This window comes from Homo sapiens, unplaced genomic scaffold, assembly GCF_000001405.40.
Source record: "Homo sapiens unplaced genomic scaffold, GRCh38.p14 Primary Assembly HSCHRUN_RANDOM_124".
Lineage (NCBI taxonomy): Eukaryota > Metazoa > Chordata > Mammalia > Primates > Hominidae > Homo > Homo sapiens.
The window spans coordinates 228,077-252,221 of NT_187420.1; the positions used below are offsets into that span (position 1 = coordinate 228,077).

A 24,145-nucleotide genomic window follows, 5' to 3' on the forward strand; every position below is an offset into this window, starting at 1 on the left:
CCCCCACCCCACCCCACCCATCCCGCCTCATGAAATGAGCTCTTGCTCCATCAGGCTCTATTCACGCCCTGTGGTTTTGTAACCTCCAGTGTGTATGCGTGGGTTGCGGGCTGGGGTGGGGACGGCTGTGGACAGAGGAGGGGATAAAGCGGCAGTGTTCCGCGGGTTCCCGGGACGTGGGACGTGAGTGGGGTGGCCAGAGCCTAGTTAACTCATCGCCTGTCAGGACATCTTACCTCCTGGTCCCCTCTCTGACCTACGCTCCACATCTTCACAGTTCAGTGGGGACCTTGTGGGTGGAAGTCACAATCCCTTTCTACTTTAGCCTACGAAGGCCAGGCTCCCAAGAGTCTCCCCGGAGTCGGGGCCTTGGGCAGGCTCACAAGGATGCTGATGGTGACGGTTGGTGACGGCGATGTAAATTGGAGGCCTCGGGCCAATGCAGAGGTATCCATTTGACCTCGGTGGGACAGGTCAGCTTTGCGGAGTCCCATGTGTCCTTCCAGAGACTCATCCAACGATAGCAAGCATGGTCCTGAGGATCCCAGCTCCCAGCAGAGGCACTTTTGTTCACACAGAATCCTGGGCAGGAAAGTTCTCAGCAGGTTTACGCCTCCTAGCCAAAAAGTCAAAGCCACTTCTGGGATTTTTTTTTCAAAGAGCCAGTGGTTCCACAAGGGGCCATGGGTAGTTGTGGAAATGGAGAGACGTGTTTGAAGATACATATTTGAGACAGAACAGACAGGGCTCGGTCACAGTTCATGTAGAACACGAGCAGATGCACATTAAGAAAACCCTCCCAGCATCCTAGGTGAACAGAGGTATGATTTTTTGAGACAGTCGAGGGAGACGCAACCCCAGATTTTATGGTTGGATCTTTATTAATATGTAGTATCTATGAGGTATCCAAGTCCAGAAATCAACTCGCCAGTTCTGTACAGCATTCTGTAGGGAGATCAAATCTGGGATGTCTCATGTTAAGAATTCAGGTCGTGGTAATGGATTAGATTAGATGTACTTGAACTTATTTTGCAAAGAAAGAGAGGGCGGGAGATAGCGAGAGCCAGAGAGCGGGCGAGAGAGAGAGATACAGAGACAAAGACAGAGACAGAGAGAGACAGACAGAGAGACACAAAGATACATAAAGAGAGAAAGACAGAAAGAGAGAGACAGACAGATAAAGACACAGACAGAGAAAGACAGAGATGGACAGAGACAGAAAGAAACAGAAAGAGACAGAGACAGAAAGAGAGAGAGACATACAGAGAGAGACAGACAGACAGGCAGGTAGACAGTCAGAGAAAGAGAGTAAGACAGAAGGCAGAAACACACACACACACAGAGACAGAGACAGATGGACAGACAGAGAGAAAGAAAGAGAGAGACAGACAGAGAGAAAGAGACAGAGAGAGAAAGACAGAGACAGACAGAGGGAGACAGAGAGAAACAGAGACAGAGAGAGAGAGAAACAGGCAAGGAGAGAGAGAGACAGACAGACAGACAGGCAGAGAAAGACAGTAAGACAGAAGACAGACACAGAGAGAGACAGGCGGAGAGAGACAGACAGAGAGACAGAGACAGAGAAACAGACAGGCAAAGAGAGAGAGAGAAAAAAACAGACAGACAGGGAGAGAGAGAGAGACCTACAGACAGACAGGCAGAGAGAGAGACAGAGACAGCGAGACAGAGAAAGAGAGATACAGACAGACAGACAAAGAGACAGACAGAGAAAGACAGAGATGGACAGAGAGAGACAGAGAGAAACAAATAGAGAGAGACAGAGAGAGAGAGAAAGAGAGAGAGAGACAGACCGGCAGAAAAAGAGTAAGACAGAAGACAGACACAGTGAGAGAGACAGGCAGAGAGAGAGACACACAGAGACAGAGAGACAGAGAAAGAAAGAGACAGACAGAGAGACAGAGAAAGACAGAGATGGACAGAGAGAAACAGAAAGAGAGAGAGACAGAGAAAGAGACAGAGACAGAGAGAAACAGACAGACAGACAGGGAGAGAGAGAGAGACAGACAGACAGAGAAAGGGAGTAAGAGAGAAGACAGACACAGTGAGAGAGACAGGCAGAGAGAGAGAGAGAAATAGGCAAAGAGAGAGAGACAGAGAAAGATAGAAGACAGATAAAGAGAGAGAGAGAGACAGAGAGAGGAGGAGGAAGGGCATGCTCAGGAAATAATTACACATATTTTATAACGCTTTTGATCCCATAAACGGTGGCCGGGGTGTGCTTTGAAAACAACTACAACAGCAGCAAGAGCAGCAGCAGCAGCAAGAGCAGCAGCAGCAATCGCTTACGGATTTCTAGAACATAAGATGTTCTGAAGTCTAGTAAACATCAACCGGCTCTCACTATACGTTCAGAGATTCACAAAATCGTTAGTTAACAACAGGAGAAAACCGCAGCTAACATGTCTTGGGGAAAATATACGTCTTCCTGAAAACTGGGGATTTCTACTTCATCTAAAAAGAAATACATAAGAAAAAGGAAAAACACGAACAAAACAAAACAAGCCAACAAACACAGGCCAAGGCACTGTCCCTGGAAATCTTAAGTGAGCAAAGTATTAGTTTTCAGAAAGCATTTCTATTTTGGGCTAATACTAAGAAGGCCCAGACTAGAGCTGTGACGTCATTCCCACTGTGAAACTATGCTGGACTGAGGGCGGAGAAACTAAAACATCATGATAAAAGGTGATAGAGACCCAGCCGGGGTGAAGCTTTCCTAGGGAGGGAGGCCTGAGGAGGGAAGCGGGGCAAAAACCCCACAACTGCAGGCCCGCCCGCTTGCCCACGCGGGTCAAGGGCTATGCCATCGGCCCAAGCTGCCTCTGGGGAAGTAGGACCGGGCCACCCCCATCTTCAAAAATGGTGGCCACTGAGTGAGGCCTGAAGCCCACCGATGCAAATGTCAGCCTGGCAAGAATGAGATAGCCGGCAAGCGGTGGGGGAAGGGGAGAGAAGACGGAGGCACACCGGGGTGGCTCCGGAAGGTTTCCAAGCAGGGTGTTGGCAGGCGGGGTTGGGGGATTTGGGAGGAACCCACCTAACTGTCTCACTAAATGAAGATAAAGGGACGTGGGTAGTGGGGGGAGCCGGGGCGGGACTTGAAATTTAAACTGACCCCTCCTAAAACCCAAGTAGAAGAGTCTATGCGCATGAAAGAAACCAAAACAGAAAGAAAACTAAAGCGCTGATCAAAGAACAATAGGGCCCCCGCCAGGGCGGAGGTTCCCTAGGCAACGAGGGAGAGAGGGAGGGGTCTCCAGAAGGGAGAGAGAGAAACCGTTTGCCCCAGGCTCGGTGAAGTCGGCCAGACCTCTCTCCATGTCACCTCGACTTTCAATAACAGTGGCCGCTAGGTGATGCCCAAAGACAACCGATGCCTGCAAGTGTCAGTCAGCAGGGAAAAGAATGCATTTATTTATTTATTTATTTAGAGACACAGTCTCAATCTACAGCCCGGGCTGTAGTGTAGTGGCGCGATCTCGGCTCCCTGCATGCTCCGCCTCCCAGGTTCAAGCGATTCTCCTGCCTCAGCCTCCCGAGTAGCTGGCATTACAGGCACCTGCCCCACCGCACCTGACTCAATTTAGTATTTTTAGTAGAGACGGGGTTTCGCCCTGTTGGCAAGGCTGGTCTCGAACTCCCAACCTCAGGTGATCCACCCGTCTCTGCCTCCCAAACTGCTGGGCTGACAGACGTGAGCCACCGCGCCCGGCCTCAACCATGTATTTTTAAGTCGAGGAGCTTATCAGGGAAATACGAGAAGTAGGGACGCCACACATGACAGGGAGAAACGTTTGAAAATGCCCCTTCCATCCAAGTGGGGACCCGGCCTCGACCCCTCGAAATCATACACCGAGTGGCGAAGCCTAGCAAGGACCGTCTGTCTAGATACCTCTCGGCCTCTCTAAGCAGGCGCTTCTCACTTTCGTGGAAGGGGCAGGGCCCTCCCCGGCAAAGGGGCTCTGACAGACTGACAGAGAGACAGACATAGAAAGACAGAGATGGACAGAGAGAGACAGAGAGAAACAGACAGACAGGGAGGGAGAGAGACAGAGAGAGAGAGAGACAGATAGAAACAAACAGAAAGAGAGAGACAGAGAAAGAGAGAGAACAGACAGACACACAGAGACAGACAGAGAGAGACACAGAGAAACAGAAAGAGAGAGAGATGGAGAGAGAGAGAGAAAGGGAGGGAGAGAGACAGACAGACAGACAGGCAGATAAAGAGAGTAAGACAGAAGACAGACACAGTGAGAGAGACAAGCAGAGAAAGAGAGACAGAGGAAGAGAGACAGAGATGGACAGAGAGAAAGAGAAAGAGAGAGACAGAGACAGAGAAAGAGAGAGAAACAGACAGACAGGGAGGGAGAGTGACAGAGAGACAGAAAGACAGAGAGACAGAGAAAGACGGAGACAGACAGAGAGAAACAGACAGAGAGATAGATGGAGAGAGTGAGAGATAGAGAGGGAGAGAGAAACAAAGAGAGGGGGAGAGAGAGACAAACAGACAGGCAGAGAAGGAGAGTAAGACAGAAGACAGACACAGTGAGAGACACAGGCAGAGGGAGACAGAGACAGAGAGAAAGAAAGAGAGAGACAGACAGAGAAAGAGACAGACAGAGACAGACAGAAACAGCAAGAGAGAGAGACAGAGAGAGAGAGAGCGAAAGAGACAGAGGGAGAGAAACAGACACGGAGAGACAGAGACAGACAGAGAGAGAAACCGACAGAGAGGCAGAGAAAGAGAGAGAGAGAAAGAAAGAGAGAGACAGTCCAGGCGCGGTGGCTCACTCCTGTCATCCCAGCACTTTGGGAGGCCAAGGCGGGCGGATCACAAGGTCAGGAGATCGAGACCATCCTGGCTAACACGGTGAAATCCCGTCTGTACTAAAAATACAAAAAATTAGCCGGGCTTGGTGGCGGGCGCGTATAGTCCCAGCTACTCGGGAGGCTGAGGCAGGAGAATGGCGTGAACCTGGGTGGAGAAGCTTGCAGTGAGCCAAGATGGCGCCACTGCACTCCAGCCTGGGCGACACAGACTCCGTCTTGAAAAAAAAAAAAAAGAAAGAGAGAGACAGACAGAGGAAGAGACAGACAGAGACAGACAGAGAGAAACAGACAGAGAGAGAGACAGAGAGAGAGAGAAACAGAAAGGTAGGGAGGGAGAGAGAGACAGGCAGAGGAAGAGAATAAGGCAGAAGACAGACACAGTGAGAGAGACAGGCAGAGAGAGACGGACAGAGACAGAGAGAAAGAGACAGAGATGGAGAGAGAGATACAGAGAGAAATAGACAGAAAGAGAGAGAGACAGAGAGAGAATGAGAGAGAGAGAGACAGAAAGGGAGGGAGAGGGACAGACAGAGAGAGAGACAGATAGGTAGAGAAAGAGAATAAGACAGAAGATAGGCACAGAGAGAGAGACAGAGAGAGAGAGTGAGAGAGATAGACAGAGAGACTCAGAAAAAGAAATACAGAGACAGACAGAGAGACAGAGAAAAACAGAGACGGAGAGAGACAGAGAGAAACAGACAGAAAGAGAGAGACACAGAGAGAGACAGAAACAGAAAGGGAGGGAGAGAGAGAGAGACAGACAGGCAGAGAAAGAGAGAAGACAGACACTGTGAGACAGACAGAGAGAGAGAGACAGAGACAGAGAGAAAGAAAGAGACAGACAGACAGACAAAGAGACAGATAGAGAAAGACAGAGATGGACAGAGAGAGACAAAGAGAAACAGAGAGAAAGAGGGAAGGTCCTAGCCCAGTAGCGATACAGTGACTTTTCTTTCATTTTCTTTCTTTTCTGGTTTTCTTTTCTCTTCTTTTCTTTTCTTTTCTTTTCTTTTCTTTTCTTTTCTTTTCTTTCTTTCATTTATTTATTTATTTATTTATTTGGAGACCAAGTCTCACTCTGTCGCCAAGGCTGTAGTGCAGTGGCAACATCCTGGGTCACTGAAACCTCCACCTGCGAGGTTCAAGCGATTCTCCCGCCTCAACCTCCCGAGTAGCTGGGATTACACGTGCCTGCCCCACTGCGCCTGACTCAGTTTCGTATTTTCAGTAGAGAAGGGGTTTCACCATGTTGGCTAGGCTGGTCTTGAATTCCTGACCTCGTGAACCACCCACCTTGGCCTCCCAAAGTGCTGGGATGACAGACGTGGGCCACTGCGTTCAGTGTACAGTGCCATTTCTTAGAAATCACTCATGGGAATGCACACTTATAGGTCATGTGTAGAGATTTTATTTATTTGTTTGTTTGTTTATTTATTTATTTATTTATTTGCACGGGAAGGTGGGGGGACGGAGTTTTGCTCTTGCTGCCCAGGCTAGAGTACAATGGCGTAGGGGACCCAAGGAGTTAACCTATGGCAGAGACGACACGTCATTCTGAGTGTAAGGGCCGCAGCGAAAAGTGTCATGGCTCCTGCTTTTAAAGACTGAAATCCCGGCGGCTCAGGCCTGTCGTCCCAGAACTTTGGGAGGCCCAGGAAGGTGGATCACTTGAGGTCAGGAGTTCAATACCAACGTGGCCAACATGGAGCAACCCCGTCTCTACTAAAAATAGAAAAATTAGCCGGCTGTCGTGGTGCGCGCCTGTAATCCCAGCTACCGAAGAAGAATCACTGGAACCCGGGAAGAAGAGGTTTCAGTGAGCCGAGAGAGCGCCACTTCAATGCAGGCTGGGTGACAGAGCGAGAGAGACTCAGTCCAAAAAAAAAGAAAAGAAGAAAAAAAAAAGAACAGGCCCAAATACTGCATTGTCGCTGAATGTTCCCCCAAAAGGCCGGAAACCCCCTGACTCAGGTACAGGAGGTGCTGTTTCGTTTCACTTCTCTCTCTCTCTCTCTCTCTTTCCCTCTCTCCCTCTCTCTCTCTCTCCCTCTCTCTCTCTTTCTCCCCTAACTTTCATTTCTTGTTCAAACATAAATGTGTAAGATTGTTACATAGGTAAACTTCTGACGGGGGGGTGTTCAGTGTGCAGATGATTTCATCAGCCAGATACTCAGCGCAGTACTCGACAGTTTTCATGTTTTGTTTTTTCCTGAAGCTGTCTTTCCTTCCACCCCTCCTCCCTCAAGTAGGCTCCCGCTTCTCTGGTCCTCCTCGTTCTGCCCATGCAGAACTGTCATCTATAAGTTCCCACTTATGGATGAGAACACGCGGTATTTAGCTGATTGTTGCTTTCATCTTCGGCGGTGGCAGTGAAAGAGGCATGACACTAAATCGGCCCTTAGGACGCTCCCCTCCGTCCCCACCCCACACCACCTCCCCATACACACCCTCATTCCTGCATCCCCTCCTCAAACGCAGGAAAGGAAGAAAGACAAATTAAAGTAAGAGGTCAGCCTCCAAGGCGGTGGAGTCAGGGGATCTCAAAGGGTGATCAAGCGATGGGGGTCGGGGGATGTCTTGGCTGAGCTTTCAACAATAGGGGACCGAGTTTCCAGCCCCACCCACACCCCCTAATCCTCAGCCGCAGCCAGCCTCTGGGTTGTGCATTTGAATGGGGCTTTAGAAGGCGGTGCTGCGTCTTCCAAAGCGATGCACCTGGCCTCGCCTCGCCTCGCCTCGCCTCGCCTCAACCAGAGCGAGACTCCGTCTCAAAATCAATCAATCAATCAATCAATAATAAAAAAATTCATCAATGAAAGAAAGAAAGAAAGAAGAAAGAAAGAATTAGTACAGCGATCATGGTCGTGAATCATTCCCCGGAGTCCAGGCACAGTGGCTCACGCCTGTCACGCCAGCACTTTGAGACGCTGGGTCAGGAGGGTTGCAACAAAATGATGAGACCCTGTCTGTGGAAAAACATTTAAAAATGAAGGCCAGGAGCAGTGGCTCACGTCTGCCATCCCGGCACTTTGGGAGGCCGAGGAGGGCAGATCACCTGAGGTCGGGAGTTCGAGACCAGCCTGACCAACATGGAGAAGCCCCATCTCTACTAACAATACAAAATCAGCCAGACGTGTTGGCGCATGCCTGCAATCCCAGCTACTCTGGAGGCTGACGCAGGAGAATCGCTTGAACCCGGGAGGCAGAGGCTGCAGTGGACAAGATCACACCATTGCACGCCAGTCTGGGCAACAAGAACGAAACTCTGTCTCGGGAAAAAAAATAAATAAATAAATAAAAATGATCTGGGCACAGTGGCGCATGCCTGTGGTCCCAGGTACTCTACTCTGGAGGCTGAGGTGGAAGGATCACTTGAATCCAGGAGCTTCCACGCTGCAGTGAGTGAGTTATCATGGCACCACTGCCAGGGTGACAGAGCGAGACGCTGTCTCTAAATCAGTCAATCAATCAATCAGATCACTAGAAGGCGCTGTCTGTGTCTTACTTTCAAAGGGTCTCTCTTTAGGCCAAGCAGGCATGGTGCCTCAGGCCAGTAATCCCAGCACTTTGGGAGGCCGAGGCGGGAGGAAAGAAGGAAGGGAGGAAGAGATGAAGGGAGAAAATAAGAAAGGCAGGAAGTCAGTCAGGCAGGAAAGAAAAGAAAGAAAGAAAGAAAGAAAGAAAGAAAGAAAGAAAGAGAAAGAAAGAAAGGGAAAGAAAGAAAGAAAGAAGAGAAAGAAAGAGAGAAAGAAAGAGAGAGAGCAAGAGAAAGAAAGAAGAAAGAAAGGAAGGAAGAAGAGAGAAGAAAAAAGAAGAGAGAAAAGAAAAGAAGAAAAGAAAAGAAAAGAAAACGGGGAGGGGCATATCTCTTTGACTAGTGACTACCCAGGATACAGCTGACTGAAGCCTCGACCTGTGGGGCCTCAAGTGATCTTCTCCTTGTCTCAGCCTCCCGAGTAGCTGCGACTACAGTCGGGTATCAGCACGCACAACTCATCTTATAACAATATTATGATTATTATTGAGACAGAGTCTCACTTTATCTCAATAATTGCCATGGCACGATCTCAGCTCACTGCAACCTCGGCCTCCCTGGTTCAAGCAACTCACCCGCCTCTGTCTTCTGAGTAGTTGTGATTACAAACCTATGCCACCAGGCCTGGATAATTGTTCTATTTTTCATAGAAATGGGGTTTCGCCATGTTGGCCAGTCTGGTCTTGAACTCCTGGCCTCAAGTGACCCACCCGCCTTGGCCTCCCAAAGTGCTGGATTGACAGGCGTGAGCCACTGTGCCCGGTCCAGATAATCTTTTTAATAAGTTGTAGAGAAGGGGTTTCGTCAGCAGCTGGGTGGAGGGTGGGGTGGGTTTTACTCAGACTGCATAATGTGAAAAGTGTAAATTAGTGTGGTTTGTGAACTAGATGTGGAAATTGTGTGTGTGTGTGTGTGTGTGTGTGTGTGTGAGAGAGAGAGAGAGAGAAAGAGCAATCCCACCATGAGGACCCCGAAATGGTGTTTGATTTGGGTCCCTGTCTAGTCACCTCTCTGTCTGTAGATGACTGAGGATTCCACAAATGAAGGTCAGCAGTATCTATTGAGCTGTTTCTCCCTCTCATGGGTCTCGTCTGTGTGGTGGAGAAAGGGAAGAAAAGAGGTTCTGATGGGAAGTTGTCTTCATGCCTGAGGAAGCTGAAGGCAGGCTGAGGGAAAGGAGGGCATCCTATGTGACATTTCCATACCTGCGCACCCTTTACAATGATGGGGCTGCCAGTCCACCCTGTACGTCAACCCACCCCCAAGAACAGCACGGTCCGGGGTGATCCAGTCCATCCCATCCGGCCCACCCGGGGCATCTGGTGGAAGTCTTCGTTGCAGGATTCCAAAGCAGCATCAACGTCCTTCCCTTGGGGTCGCCGGGCAAAGGCCAGCTGGAGGAGGGCGGCGGGATGTGAAGGGGGGAGGGGCATCGGCCTCAGAGCTCCCTGGAAGGTGGCAGGCAGCTGGTGGGGGATGCTGAGCCAGAGACGTCTGGCAGGATATAGATCTGGAAGCCACGTCTGTCCTCTCCCATACCTCTCCCATGGAAAATCCCATCGCGGTGGTGGGAGCCTTGGCTGGGGGAGAAGCAGGGACAAGGGGAAGAGGGAAGGAGGCCCTCGGGAGGATTTAGCACCAAAAACCCACCCAGTCAAGCTCCCTCCCTCCTATGGGGTCCAAGGTACACCCTGGGAGGCGGCAAGAGAAACGTTCACCCCATGCTTTTTGTCTTTCTCTTTATTTTTTTCATCTTTTCAATTTTAAAAGAGATGCTCATTTCAACAACTAGACGGTGGATGTGACGGGAGAAGTGTCAAGGCCAGGAGTTTGAGACAAGCCCGAGCAACTGAGCAACACAAGTAGGAGAGCCCAGCTGAAAACAATGAAAAAAAGAAGGAGGAGGAGGAGGAAGAAAGAAAAGAAAAGAAATAAAAAAAAAAGAAAAGAAAAGAAAAGGAAAAAGGAAAACAACCACCAAGAAAGTTAAAATTCTCCAATGGTGCAGGCACAAAAAAGAGCGATTTCACGTCTTTTCCCACAATATGGATAGAGCTGGAAGCAAGTATGTACCCAGTGAACTGTCTTCTGCTTACAAGTGGGAGGTAAACAGTGGGTACGCACACGGTCATCAAGATGGAAATAGCAGACACTCCAAAAGGGAGGAGGAGGGTAAGAGGGGGACGAGGGATGAATAAATCGCCCGTCAGAGACAATGTTCGCCACTTGGGTATCGGATACACTGGAGGTCCACTTCTACAACTGGAGGCAGCAGTAGGCCTTTCTAACAAACAAGCACGTACACCCCCTGAGTCTGTAAAATACCAAAACAATGACGACAGCACCACCAGCAGCAACAACAACAACAGAACAGAAGCTGGAACACAAAACCACCACCACCACAATCACCAGTTGGGGGTTGGGGGAGGGTGGCCGCGCTCAAGGCCCTCAGGCCCAGTCCCCTCGGGTTTAAAAAAGAAAACAGCAGACTCATTCCTGTCTGTAGGCAGGAAAAATCCAATCAAAGTTCTCCATTGCTAGAAAGGGAAGTAGAATAAGGAGAAGGGCTTATTGATCTTCTTGTGGTCGATCGAGACCATACATGTAGTAAAAAATTAAATTCAGACAGCAATACTTTCTACACTGTTCAAAAGCATCGGAGATCAGACGCACCACACTCCATGGGGCTTGTGCCACTAGAAAGAAAAGGCAGGCCGAGTGAGGTGGCTCACGCCTGTCATCCCAGCACTTTAGGAGGCCGAGGCGGGCGGATCACGAGGTCAGGAGATCGAGACCATCCTGGCTAACACGGTGAAACCCCGTCTCTACTAAAAATACAAAAAAATTAGCCAGGCCTGGTTTGGGCGCCTGTAGCCCCAGCTACTCGGGAAGCTGAGGCAGGAGAATGGCATGAACCAGGGAGGCGGAGCTTGCAGTGAGCCGAGATAGCACCACTGCACTCTGGCCTGGGTGAAAGAGCGAGACTCCGTCTCAAAAAAAAAAAAAAAAAAAAAAAAAAAAAAAGCCAGACATAGTGCTGCATGCCTGTAGTCCCAGCTACTAAGGAAGCTGTGGTAGAACAATCACTTGACCCAGCAGTTTGAGGCTGCAGTGAGCTATAATCATGTCACTGCACTCTGGACTGGGTGACAGAGCGAAATTCTATCTCAAAACAAAGAACAATGAAAAACCTACAAGCATACTCAGAGATAGTGTGGGTTTGGTTCCAGACAACCACAAGAAGGTAAATGTTACAAACAAGTTAGTCGCATAAACACTTTGTTTCCCAGTGCTTATAAAAGTTATGCTTAAACTATGTTGTAGTCTAATGAGTATTTAATAATTATTAATTAATTAATTAATTAGTAATTGCATTATGTCTACAAAACTATGTACATACCTTAACTTAAAATACCTCATTGCTGAAAAATACTAATGAATATCTGAGCCTTACCAAGTCATAATCTTTTTGCTGGTGAGTGAAGTGGTGGCTCACCCCTCCAGACTTGTGGGTATTTCTAGTCAGGTGGGACAAGAGACTGAGAAAAGAAGTAAGACACAGAGACAAAGTATAAAGAAACAACAGTAGGCCCAGGGGACCGGCGCTCAGCATACCAATGACCTGCACAGGCACCGGCCTCTGAGTTCCCTCAGTTTTTATTGCTTATTATTTTCATTATTTCAGCAAAAAGGAATGTAGTAGGAGAGTAGTGTGATAATAAGGAGAAGGTCAGCAAAAAACATGTGAGCAAAAAAATCTATGTCATAATTAAGTTCAAGGGAAGGTACTATGAGTGGACGTGCACATAAGCCAGATTTATGTTTCTCTCCACCCAAACATCTCAGTGGAGTAAAGAATAACAAAGCAGCATTACTGCAAACATGTCTCGCCTCCCACCATAGGGCGGTTTTTCTCTTATCTCAGAATTGAACAAATGTACAATCAGGTTTTATACTGAGACATTCAGTTCCCAGGGACAGCCAGGAGACAGTGGCCTTCCTCTATCTCAACTGCAAGAGGCTTTCCTCTTTTACTAATCCACCTCAGCACAGACCCTTACCGGGTGTCGGGCTGGGGGACAGTCAGGTCTTTCTCATCCCATGAGGCCATATTTCAGACTATCACATGGGGAGAAACCTTGGACAATATCCCGCTTTCAAGAGCAGAGGTCCCTGCGGCTTTCTGCAGTGCATTGTGCCCCTCGTTTATTGAGACTAGAGAATGGCGATGACTTTTACCAAGTATACTGCTTGTAAATATTTTGTTAACAAGGCACATCCTGCACAGCCCTAGATCCCTTAAACCTTGATTTCATACAACACATGTTTTTGTGAGCTCCAGGTTGAGTCAAAGTGGCTGGGGCAAAGTGGCTGGGGCAAAGCTACAAATTAACAACATCTCAGCAAAGCAATTGTTTAAAGTACAAGTCTTTTTCAAAATGGAGCCTCTTACGTCTTTCCTTTCTGTATAGACACAGTAATAGTCTGATCTCTCTTTCTTTTCTCTTACAGTGAGGGTCTTGCCTCTATGTTGATGGCTGCTGACTGATCAGTGTGGGGGCTGCTGAAGGTTGGGTGCTTGTGTCAATTTCTTAAAACAACGAAGTTTGTTCCTTTCACAAAATATTTCCCTGTAGCATGTGATGCTGTTTGATAGCATTTTATTCACAGTAGAACTTCTTTCAAAATTGGAGTAAACCCTCTCAAACCCTGCTGCTGCTTTATCAACTAGGTTTATGGAATATTCTAAACACTTTGTTGTTATTTCAACAATGTTCGTAGCATCTCCACCTGGAGTAGATTCCATCTCAAGAAAATATTTTCTTTGCTCATCCATAAGAAGCAACTCCCCAGATGCTCAAGTTTCATCATGAGTTTACAGCAATTTAATCTCATCTAAAGGCCCTAATTCTAATTCTGGTTGTCTTGCGATTTCTACCACATCTGTAGGGACTTCCTCCACTGACATCCTGAGCCTTCAAAGTCTTCCATGAGGGCTGGAATCAACTTCTTCCGAACTCCTGTTAATGTTGATATTTCAACCTCCTCCCATCAATCACAAATGTCCTTAATGGCATTTGCTATTAAGAACATTTATGATTCACGGGAAGAGGTTGAAATATCATGAAAGGATTAATGGTGAAACCTTTCCAAAAGGTTTTCAATTCAGTTTATCCATATTCATCAAAGAAATTACTATCTATGACAGCTATACCTTTACAAAATGCATTTATTATTTAATAAAAACACTTGAAAGTCAAAACCACTCCTTGATCCACAGGCTGAAGGATAGATATTGTATTAGCAGCCATGAAAATAATATTAATTTCCAAGTACATCTCCATCTAAGCTTTTGGGTAGCTAGGTGAATTGTCAATAAGCAGCAATATTTTTCTTTTTTTCTTTTCTTTCCTTTTTTTTTTTTTTTTGGCCTTTATGTAGTTTCCCTCTTGTTGCCCAGGCTGGAGGGCAGTAGCATGGTCTCGGCTCACCGCAACCTCCGCTTCCAGGGTTCAAGCCGTTCTTCTGTGTCAGCCTCCCAAGTAGCTGAAATTACAGATACCACCACTATGCCTGGTTAATTTTTTTGTATTTTTATTAGAGACAGCGTTTCATCATTTTCACCAGGCTGGTCTTGAACTCCTGACCTCAGGTGATCCACCCACCTCGGCCTCCCAAAGTGCAGGGATTACAGGTGTGAGCCATTGTGCCTGGCCAAGCAGCAATCCCTTTAAAGGAATGTTTTTTTTTTTTTTTTTTTTTTTTTTTTTTTTTTTTTCTGAGCAGTAGGTCTCAATAGTGGGATTAAAATATTCAGTAAACCATGCTCTTAACAGATGTGTTGTCACTCAGACTGTAATGTTCCATTTCTAGAGCACAGAAAGAATAGATTTTGCATAATTCCTAACGGCCCTGAGATTTTCAGAGTGGTCAATGAGCACTGGCTGTAACTTAAAGTCACCAACAGCAGTGGTCCTCAAAGAGAGTCAGCCCATCCTTTGAAGTTTTGAAGCCAAGTGTGGACATCTCTCTAGCAATGAAAATTTTACATCTTCACTAAGCTTAATCATTTCTAGCTCTGGACTTCAAGTGAGAGACGTGCAATTCTTCCTTTCATTTGAGCTCTTTGAGGCCACTGTGCTTACTAATTAACACCCCCGGCGGGTGTCATCCTCCTCCCTCCTCAATCGAGTTCACCCACACCGGGGCATGGGGAACGGGGCTTGCCGCACCCCACACACCCTGCACGCCTGGGGCTCTCCCACAGGGGGCTTTCGTGAGCCAGGGAGCAAGGGCCGTCCCACCGCTCCAGCCTAGCCAGGCTGCACAGGCAGAAGGAATCTCTCAACGTGCCCCGGCACGCGGGGATTTTGTGTTTGCTGCCCTGGCCCCTCTAGAAGTAGGACTGTCCCACCCTCAGACTCCTCGGTGGCCTCCGCACCCCGAAAATGCCAGGAGGACCAGGACCCGCAGCACGGCGGCCTGCTGGGTGCATGCTCAGTGGGACAGCTTGGGTACCCTCAAGCTGAGTCACAGGGGCAAAGTATGTTTGCGCCACCCACATCCCACCAGAGTCCGTGGTGGGGCTGGAGCCCCAGGTCGCCAGGGCGGCGTGGGAAACCGAAGACGGGGCACCTCCACTTCCGAAGCTCGCGACCTCAGAGGCCTCCGGGTCAAGCACATATGCAAGCCATCCAGGCGCCTCCCAACCGCTCCATGAGCCAGGGCGCTCATCTACACTCACCCCCAGCCAGTAAACCCCCAGCCAGTAAACCCGAGAGTTCCAGCAAAAGGCACAACTTTTCCTAGATCCGGCGCCACTGGGGGAGCTGAAGGACGTGGAAGAGCCCGCTCCGCTGGAAGCACTCCTCAGCCAGGAAGAACAGCGGGCTGTGCTGGAGGAGCTTTAGGACGCGGGGTTGGGGCTGGGTAGGGGCAGGGCGGCGGCCTCTCTTTCACAGTGAACCTCTGACTTGGTATGGAGAGGCGTGTCTTCCCTTCCAGCTGACCTGCCTAGGATCCCTGAGTTCCAGGTCCCGTGAGAGACTCCACTCAGAGGAGGGCTGTCATTCTTTTCTGAGCATCCCGGGGATCCCAGGGCCCCTCCAGGTACCGGGAGGCGGACTGTCTACTGCTCATGCGCGGGTTAGCAGGCAGTAGCCTAGGTTTTCTAACTAGCCTAGGTGGAGTTCTCATCACTTCCCTCTTGCCCCCCACCGCCTTCTTCAGTGGGACGGGCGGAGACCTCCATCCCGGGAAACACTGGCCCGGGCAGGTGCCAGGTCTGCTCTTCTTTCCGCGTCTCGCCAACCTGCATCCCCACCACACCGTCACTCGCCTACCCTTGCCCCGCCAGCTTCCTCGGCATCACCGTGGAGCGCCTGATAGCTAAATGCAGACCCGAGACCCCGCGCAAACCGGGGTGCTGCCCTTTCTACGCGGGAGGGAACTCAGGCAGAGATGGGGAGAGGAACGGAGACAGAGAGGGAGGGAGCGATGGAGGGAGGAAAGAACGGATGGACCGAGGGACCTTGGAAAGGATGGAGGGATAGAAGGAAGGAGAGAGGGAAGGAGGGAGGGAGGGAGGGAATGGGGGGGGAGGAACTGCGGGAGGGACGGGGGAAAGAGGGAGGGAGGGAGCAATAAACAGAGAGAGGAAGGCAGAGAGAAAAGCAGTCTTCTGCCTCCAGGACCACCAGGATCTTGCACTCCGGGAAAATGTTGGGTGCACAATGCAGGCTAAGTGCTCGGCCCACAGCCGCGTCGGCCTGCGGGGCTCTCACCGGCCCTCTGGATCGCCGGCCTGGGTTACTTCATCCGAGAGCGATTCAGCCGAATTTCGTCTCCCAAGGAATGAGGGAATTGCCCAGAGAGCAATGAGCCGAGACTCGGGTGATTGTCCATTTTTCATCCACATGGTTCACAGATGAGATAGCCCCACGTTGAGCCTGCAACGGAGAGCTAGGTGGATAGTCTCGTCCACACAGGAGTCACACTCAGGCCGACTGAAGCGTGGTTTCGGGTTCCACGTTCCTTTGCCTTCTGCAAGGGGACCTGTTGCTCATGCATCTCTGGCCCCCGAAAGCGTGACCATGTTGACTGTTTGTTTCCCGAGCTCTCTGGGGACACAGAAACCTCCAGAGAACCGTGGAAAAACAGCATCGTGTCTTCGCTCTCCTTTCTTCCCTGTTTGGAAACAGGCCATAGTGGAGACTCCCCATGTTGCAGGAAACAGGAATCCCTCTTCAGGCCCTGATGCACCGGGCCTTTCTTTTCTCTGTAGTTTCGCTCTCGTTTTCTACATGAAAATGAACAAGATCCGTAAGGAATCAGAAAAGGATTTATAGCACACAAGTCTTGACTACTGTTACATTCCACTTTGAAATCACTCTGAGGTGAAACAACAATTTTCCAAGATTTAAAGAAAAATAGATTTTATAAAAGGGATTCTTTTATTCACTCATACATCATTTATGTTACTGACAGTAACAAGTGATATTTTTTCCACTATAATTTGCTCTGATGAAATAAATAATTCTTTTAATTCCTAACAAATGCTACATTTTCAAGACTAAAGGAATTATCAGTAGGCATTCTTTCTTCTTGATCTAAGTTATTTGTCTCTAAAATATGTCAAGTAAGCTTTTAAAGATTCAGGGAGGGGCAGCTTCATGATTTTTTCTCTCAGTAAATTTTGAGGTGGCTTCTCTGGCTTCATCGCTTCACTGTGATATTTTTCTTCCTCTTCTTTATTATTTTCTTCCATTTTTTCATCCTCCTCCCTGTCTAGAGGCTGAGGAATAAGCTGATTATCCACAAATACGTAAGTGGTAATTCTCTGTTTAATTCTCTTTCTTTTCCTTTTGGGTGGAGCCCTTTGAGGAATCCCCTTGGCCTGCATCTCATCATTTATGAAATTTCTAAGTGTGTGTCGAATGTAAATATGAGCCAAGTCCTGTAGATTCCTGACAGTGATTCCTTACAGATTTGTAGTGGTGAGGGTTAGATTTAATTTTATATAAGGTTTGAATAATTGTTAAGCTTATGTAACCTGATCTGAATTTGCACTTCCTCTATGAAAACTTCACTTATCTAATAAGGAAATCAAATGCTTTGTAGACCTATTTACCTTACTTTTGTTGCAATCACTGTTGCTGGGTTGCTGTATATATATTCCGGGCAATATATGAGTGCAATAACAATACAAAATATTGAGTAATTTAGCTTTTTAAAATCCCACAAATTTTATGAAATTTTACAGCCCTGCTACTTTTGCTTTTGAATCTCTTGCCAAAAGACACGAGTAAAATATCTGCTTCTCTCATAGAGATTTTAAGAGCACAGCAAGTGAATTATTAAAATAGGAAGTATGTACTTAATACAACTCTTTATATGGACCCTTTACATTTTCAGTATTTTAAAAAATGAGGTTACCTTAACTCTCTAGAATTTTAAAAGTATATTTAGAATTGTTTTTTCTGTAGTTCACTGTATAAAGTATTTGTTTTTTTTTAAAGAAAAGCAAAACCATTGTTATGTGTGACTCTTGATAGGCCACAGAACGAGTGAATGAGCATGAGTGAGGCCACTTTCTTAGATGGCTGTAAGTAGCAGCGCCATGGTAGATCTGGTCAGCGGATGCACTTTAGCAGATGGAACTTCTAGTTTATCTGAATATTTATCTTTGACAAGGTAGGGCTGAGCCTACATTTGCTTTGGATCTTTCTACTACAAGAAATATCCACAGAAATTGTATGTAGATACCCTTTGTTTGGAAAATCCTGTTCAGAATCATAGTGTAATCTTTGGGACTTATGTCATGCTCATTTGACTTCTTCCCATATTTTTTGTGTTTCTTTTGGTAAAACTATAATAGTTTTCATTTTTTACTTAATATCACACAATTAAACTGTCATATTTGAGCTTTATTGTAGCTTATCAGTGATAAAAAACAGATAGTAACTGCCATTGTTTGTTTCTTTGTTTTCCTACTAAGACCTGAAAACAGCCATTCCTTGTTAAGAAAGTGTGCAATGTAACATATTTGCTAGAGTTACATGGATTATATATTTCTTAAAGGGAAAAATTTGAGAGTATCATGGATTACCACCAGCATTATTATTATAGTAGTTGCTGAGATTTGGTTAAGGAAGCCCAATCAATGTATAGTGAAATGATTATTTGCTCTCTGCTAAGATTCAGATATTGTTTAAAAAATCTCAGCTCCAATAATTCCACAACATCTAAAAACAAGTGTTTGTGATCATGTGTAAGCATGAAATTGCTCCAAGTAAGTGAGGATATTGTAGTTATGTGAAAGACAGTATCAATGGAAGGTTATTTGTTTTATACCAGTGGCTGAGATGGTGGAATTGGGGTTATTTCTACAGTTATTCTTAGACGATTACTAAACTGTTAAGAAATGCCCCATATCATTTGTATCTAGGAAAGAAAAAAGTCAGTATCATACTGCTGTCATCTGTCAGAAGTGTTCATTTTATTTTGAATTAAATGTGGCTTTTGAAGTTACCTTGAATTCCTGGTGACCACATGTTTTTATCTGGAAAACCTGGGGAAAGTTATCTGTCCCATCTACCCTGCTGTTTTTTTGTTTTGTTTTGTTTTTTGTTGTTTTTTTTTTCTCGGTTGGAGCTGCTGTTTAGATGATGCTTTTACTATGTAGGAGAGAGTTTTTGTTAAGGATATATTTGAAGATTGGCTTTTCCATATTGTCTTTCATTCTTTGACCTTGGCAAAGTGTAAAGTAGATTTTCATGATCATTGCATATTTCTTGTCATTGAAATGTATCTTTTATGTTTTTAAATGCATTCATTTTACACTCATGACTTTATCATTGACTTTAAGAGGTAGAAATAAAAAATGAAAATAAAAAAATGAATGAGATCCACACACCTGCGTGTGTGACTATCACGGCAATGGTGACACCCACAGGCATTGCCGGCTTCACGGAGAGGGCCTGGAAAATCAAGACTATCATGGAGGTTCAGTTCCACACTCCACCCTTCCAGGGTGGTTTCTCCCTGAAATCGTGTGTGAACCCAGAGAGAAACTTCCAGTTTCTGTAGAATTCTGGAGAACTCAGACAGCCAGTCCCAGAAGCCCCCCTTTCCCAGCTGATCTGGCCCCACCTTCACCTACCACACAAGGCCCTGTGTCTGTGGTTTCTGGGCCCTTCGGAGGGCAGGTTACCCAGGGCCCTTGGGTGTTCATGCATATTCATGAAGGCGTGAAGCTGGTGGGTCTTTATAAGGGCCACTGGCGGGGTCGGACTCCTGCCTGGACCTGCCTGCAGCACAGAGGCCAACTGAGGCCCACGGGAGCCGCCGGCCTCTCTCTGCCCGTGTCTGTCCGTGAAATTCCGGCCAGGTGCCCTCGCAATGGCTCTCCCGACACCTTCTGACAGCCCCTTCCCCGCGAAAGCCCGAAGACGAGGACGGCGAAGGAGACTGGTTTGTAACCCGAACGAAAAAGATGCCCTGCCAGCGTGCTTTGAGCGGAACCCGTACCCGAACTGGCCAGAGAGACCCGCCTATTGGAGTCCAGGATTCAGATTTCGTGTCAGAATCGAAGGTCCAGGCATCCAGGCCAGGGTAGCAGGGAACCCGCGCAAGCAGGCGGCCTGTGCAACGCGGCCCACAGCGGGTGCCACCCTCCCTCCTTGGTCGCCTTCACCCATGCCAGGGCGTGGGGAACAGGGGGCTTTTGTGAGCCAGACAGCAAGGGTCGCCCCTCTGCTGCACCCCAGCCAGGCTTCGCAGGCAGAAGGAATCTCCCAACCTACCGCGGCACACGGGGATTTTGGGTTTGCTGCCCTGGCTCCTTCGGAAGTGGAGCTGTCCCACCCTCAGACACCTGGGTGACCTCCGCATCCGAACAGATGGCAGCAGGACCAGGACCCGTAGTACGGTGGCTTTCTGAGTGCGTGCTCAATGGGACAGCTTAGGCCGCTCAGGCTGAGTCACAGGGGCAAGGTGTGCTTGCGCCGCACACGTCCCACATGAGTCCATATTGGGGCTGGGGCCAGGGTCCACAGGTCGCCAGGGCACGTGGGAACGCGAAGCCGAGGCACATGTACCTCCGCAGCTCGTGCCCATGGAGGCCTCTACGTGTCAGAAGCAGATGTAAGCCATCCAGGCACCCTCCCAACCGCTCCAGGAGCTGGAGTCTTCATCTGTACTCGCATCCACCCTGTTATATGAGCTCCTGTCTACCCCAGAATTTCAGCAAAGGACACAACCTTTCCTAGCAATGAAGCCGCTGAGGGATTTGAAGGACTTGGAAGAGCCTGCTTTTCTGGAACCACTCCTCAGCCAGGAATAACACTCGGCTCAGTTGGAGGAGCTTTAGGACGCGGGGTTGGGACCGGGTGGGGGCAGGTCGGTGGCTCCTCTTTCGCGGTGAACCTCTGGCTCGGTATGGAGACCTGTGTCTTCCCTTCCAGCTGACCTGTCTAGGATCCCTGAGTCCAAGTCCAGTGAGAGACTCCACAGAAAGGAGGGCTGTCATTCTTTCCTGAGCATCCCAAGGATTTCAGAGCCAGCCCAGGTACTCAGAGATGGGCCGTCTACTGCGCATGTGCGGGTTCGCGGGCAGCCGGCTAGGGTTTGGGGCCAGCCCAGGCAGGGCTCTCATCCCTTCCCCCGCACCCCCACACAGTACACCCCCCCCTACCCCGCGTTCTTCAGTGGTGTAGGTGGAGTCCTCCACCCCGGGAAATACCGACCCGGGCAGCGGCCAGGCCTGCTCTCCTTTCCGCAGCTCAACTCCACTACCTCCCCGCTCCACCCACCGTCGCCCACCCGTGCCCCGCCATCCTCCTCGGCATCACGTGAAGCGCCCGGGAACTAAATGTAGACCCCGAGATCTCACGCAAACCGTGGTTCTTCCCTTTCTAGGTGGGAGGGAAGCCAGGCAGAGATGGGGAAAGGAACGGAGACAAAGTGAGAGAGAGGGACAGAGGGAGGAAAAGACAGATGAAAGGACGGACCTTGGAAGGGATGGAGGGAGGGAGGGAAAGAAAAAGAGAGGAAGGGAGGGAGGGAAAGAGGGAGAAAGGGAGGTATGGATGGTGGGAGAGAGGGAAGGAGAGAAGAACAGAGGGAGGGAGGGAGACAGGGAGGGAGAGAGGGAGAGAAGGAAGAACAGAGGGAAGGATGGACAGAGGGAGAAAAGGAGCAAGAAACAGAGAAGGGAAGGCAAAGAGAAAAGCGGTCTTCTGCCTCCAGGCCCAGCAGGACCTCGAACTCCGGGAAAATGTTGGGTGCCCAGTGCAGGCTGAGTGCTCAGCCCACAGCCGCCTCGGCCAGCGGTGTGCTCACCGGCCCTCTGGATCGCCAGCCTGGGTTACTTCATCCGGGAGCGATTCAGAGGAATTCCGCCTCCCAAGGAATGAGCGAATTCCCCAAAGAACAGAGCCGAGACTCGAATGGTTGTCCGTTTTTCATCCACATGGTTCACAGATGACATATCCCCACGCTGAGCCTGCAACAGAGCGCGAGGCAGATACTCCCATCCACACAGGAGTCACACTCAAGCCGAGTGAACCATGATTTCGGATTCCACGTTCCTTTGCCCTCTGCAAGTGGGCCTGCTGCTCACGTGTCTCTGGCCCCCGAAAGCGTGACCATGTTGACTGTTTGTTTCCCGAGCTCTGTAGGGACACAGAAACCCCCAGCAAAGCGTGGAAAAGCAGCATCGTGTCTTTGCTCTCCTTTCGTTTCCAAACAGGCCATTTTGGAGACTCCCCATGTTGCAGGAAACAGGAATCCGTCATCAGACCGTGATGCCTCAGTCCCCTGCCCAGGCTACAGGCCCACCAGGCCGCCTCCCTTTTGCTGACACTCCAGGCCTTTCCCCCGGCTTGCGAGCTCCCCATCGTCGCTTGTCCCGACGAGGACCCGCCCGTGGCCAACGGGACAGGAAGGCCCTGCTTTGCCCCGCGCTGGCACTAGAGCCTCGGCAGCCTGATCCCGGGAAACAGGGGCTGACGGACACCCAGACACACCCCACCACTACCACGAGCAAACCCAGCACGGCACACACACAGATACACACTAGTGCATGCACACAGGCACACATGGACACACACACAGACACACACACACAGACACACAAAGACACACACACGGAAACATGCACACGGACACACATGGACACACACACAAGGACATACAGACCAAGACACAGACACAGCTTGAAAGAGAGCTAGGGAGACCGGGATGGAGAGATACAAATGGGGGGAGAGAGAGAAAAGTGGATGGGGAGAGAGACAGAAGGTGACAGAAGAGCGAGGGTTGGAGGGGGAAGTAGAGAAAGGGAGAGGGTGAGGGAGTTGTAGAGTGAGAGAGACAAAGCCTTGGAGAGGGAGGCTCTGCTCAGGTAGACAGGGCGCTTTGAGCAGGCCAGGGTGAGGTGGAGGGTGTTTGGGCCAGGCTAGAACAGGGGGTCAGGGCCGCCCACGCGGGAAAACCAACTGAGCCCTGAGAAGTGTTTTTTTTTTTTTTTCTTGGATTGGTTGGTTTCTTTGGGGGTGCGTTTCATAGGGTCCTTCCTGTGTTTGCTTCTTCTTGTCTCCCTGGTGCGGTGGGCCCCGAGATTTGTAGAGTGCACCCGCCCATCTGGTGGAAGCCGTGGCACCGAGCTTGTCCACGGGGCCAGGTCTGGGTCTCTCTCGTGTCCTCGGGACTAAAGTTTACACGAAGTTGGTGGCAATGGGAAACAGGGTGCACAGGGACGGATTTCTTCGTGGCTGGCGAAGACAATGTCCTTCCCCCGGGGAAAGCAGCCCACGGGTTCTGGAGCGGAGGTCTTGGCTGGCAACTGTGGGACCTGCTGCCCCAACTTGGATGGTTGCGGGGGCGCTTGATGAATGAATTGAGTTGCCTGGGGTCCTGGGAGCAGGAAGACACCCCGGAGGGCAGGAAACCCGCGCCTGCGCCTTCCAGGTCTAGTACATGCTGCAGTGCCCCGGCTGGAGCCGGGCTCCTGGTGGGGCTGCAGCCAGGCGAAAGAGGTGGGATGCTGCCAGCTGGCGGTATTGCAGCTGCAGACCCCCACGAGGAGGTTTCATCTCGACATAAATCTTTTTCTTTCTTCAGCTGATCTGTATCCTTAATTTTAGATTAGTGGTAACTCCACAAATTTAGAGGCACAAAATATGGTTGCCCACACCTTATAATCGCATTACCACCTCCCATTACCACCACCTTTCCCCCTCCTCCCCACCCTCAACCCGTAGACTAGGTCTCGCGATGTTTCCAAGGCTGGCCTCAAACTCCTGGGCTCAAGTTATTTGCCTGTCTTGGCCTCTCAAAGTGCTGTGATCAGCGGTGTGAGTCACCAGGCCCAGCCAACCACCACGAAGTTTTCATTCAGCAGCACTGGGTCATGGAGCTAAGGACCCACAAATTTAGAAAAGTTTTTAAATATCATAACATTTCTGTGAGGAAATAGTATTTGGTATTACATTGTTAGACTCTTTTATAATGTTCTGTTTTTTTCCACCGAGCACAGTACTAAGTAGTAACTGGAAAATCACAGCATAAGTCATATTACTTTTTCTAATACAGAGTCCTTGGCTGTTCTCTAAGCTAAACCTGATCACCTACATTGAGTAAAAGAAAAAGCCCCAGAGTGTGAGGAGACAGAAGATAGTAGCCAAACATCCAAATAGGTGGGAGTGAATAAGGCAGATGACACAGATGAGATGACCAAAGGTCAAGGAAAAAGCCAGATCTTAA

The 24,145-nt window shown here is 49.0% G+C and overlaps 1 long non-coding RNA gene and 1 pseudogene across 1 annotated transcript; both read left to right on the forward strand.

Annotated features, from left to right (window-relative positions):
• Positions 1 to 15,193, forward strand: part of LOC101930589 (cell division cycle protein 27 homolog) — a 19,199-nt pseudogene extending 4,006 nt beyond the window's left edge.
• Positions 15,194 to 17,242: 2,049 nt separating this feature from the next.
• LOC102724902 (uncharacterized) lies at positions 17,243 to 21,530 on the forward strand. Its single transcript, XR_430602.5, has 3 exons — positions 17,243 to 17,355; positions 19,631 to 19,632; positions 21,518 to 21,530. It is a non-coding gene; the product is annotated as an uncharacterized LOC102724902 (long non-coding RNA).
• The last annotated feature ends 2,615 nt before the right edge of the window (positions 21,531 to 24,145 follow it).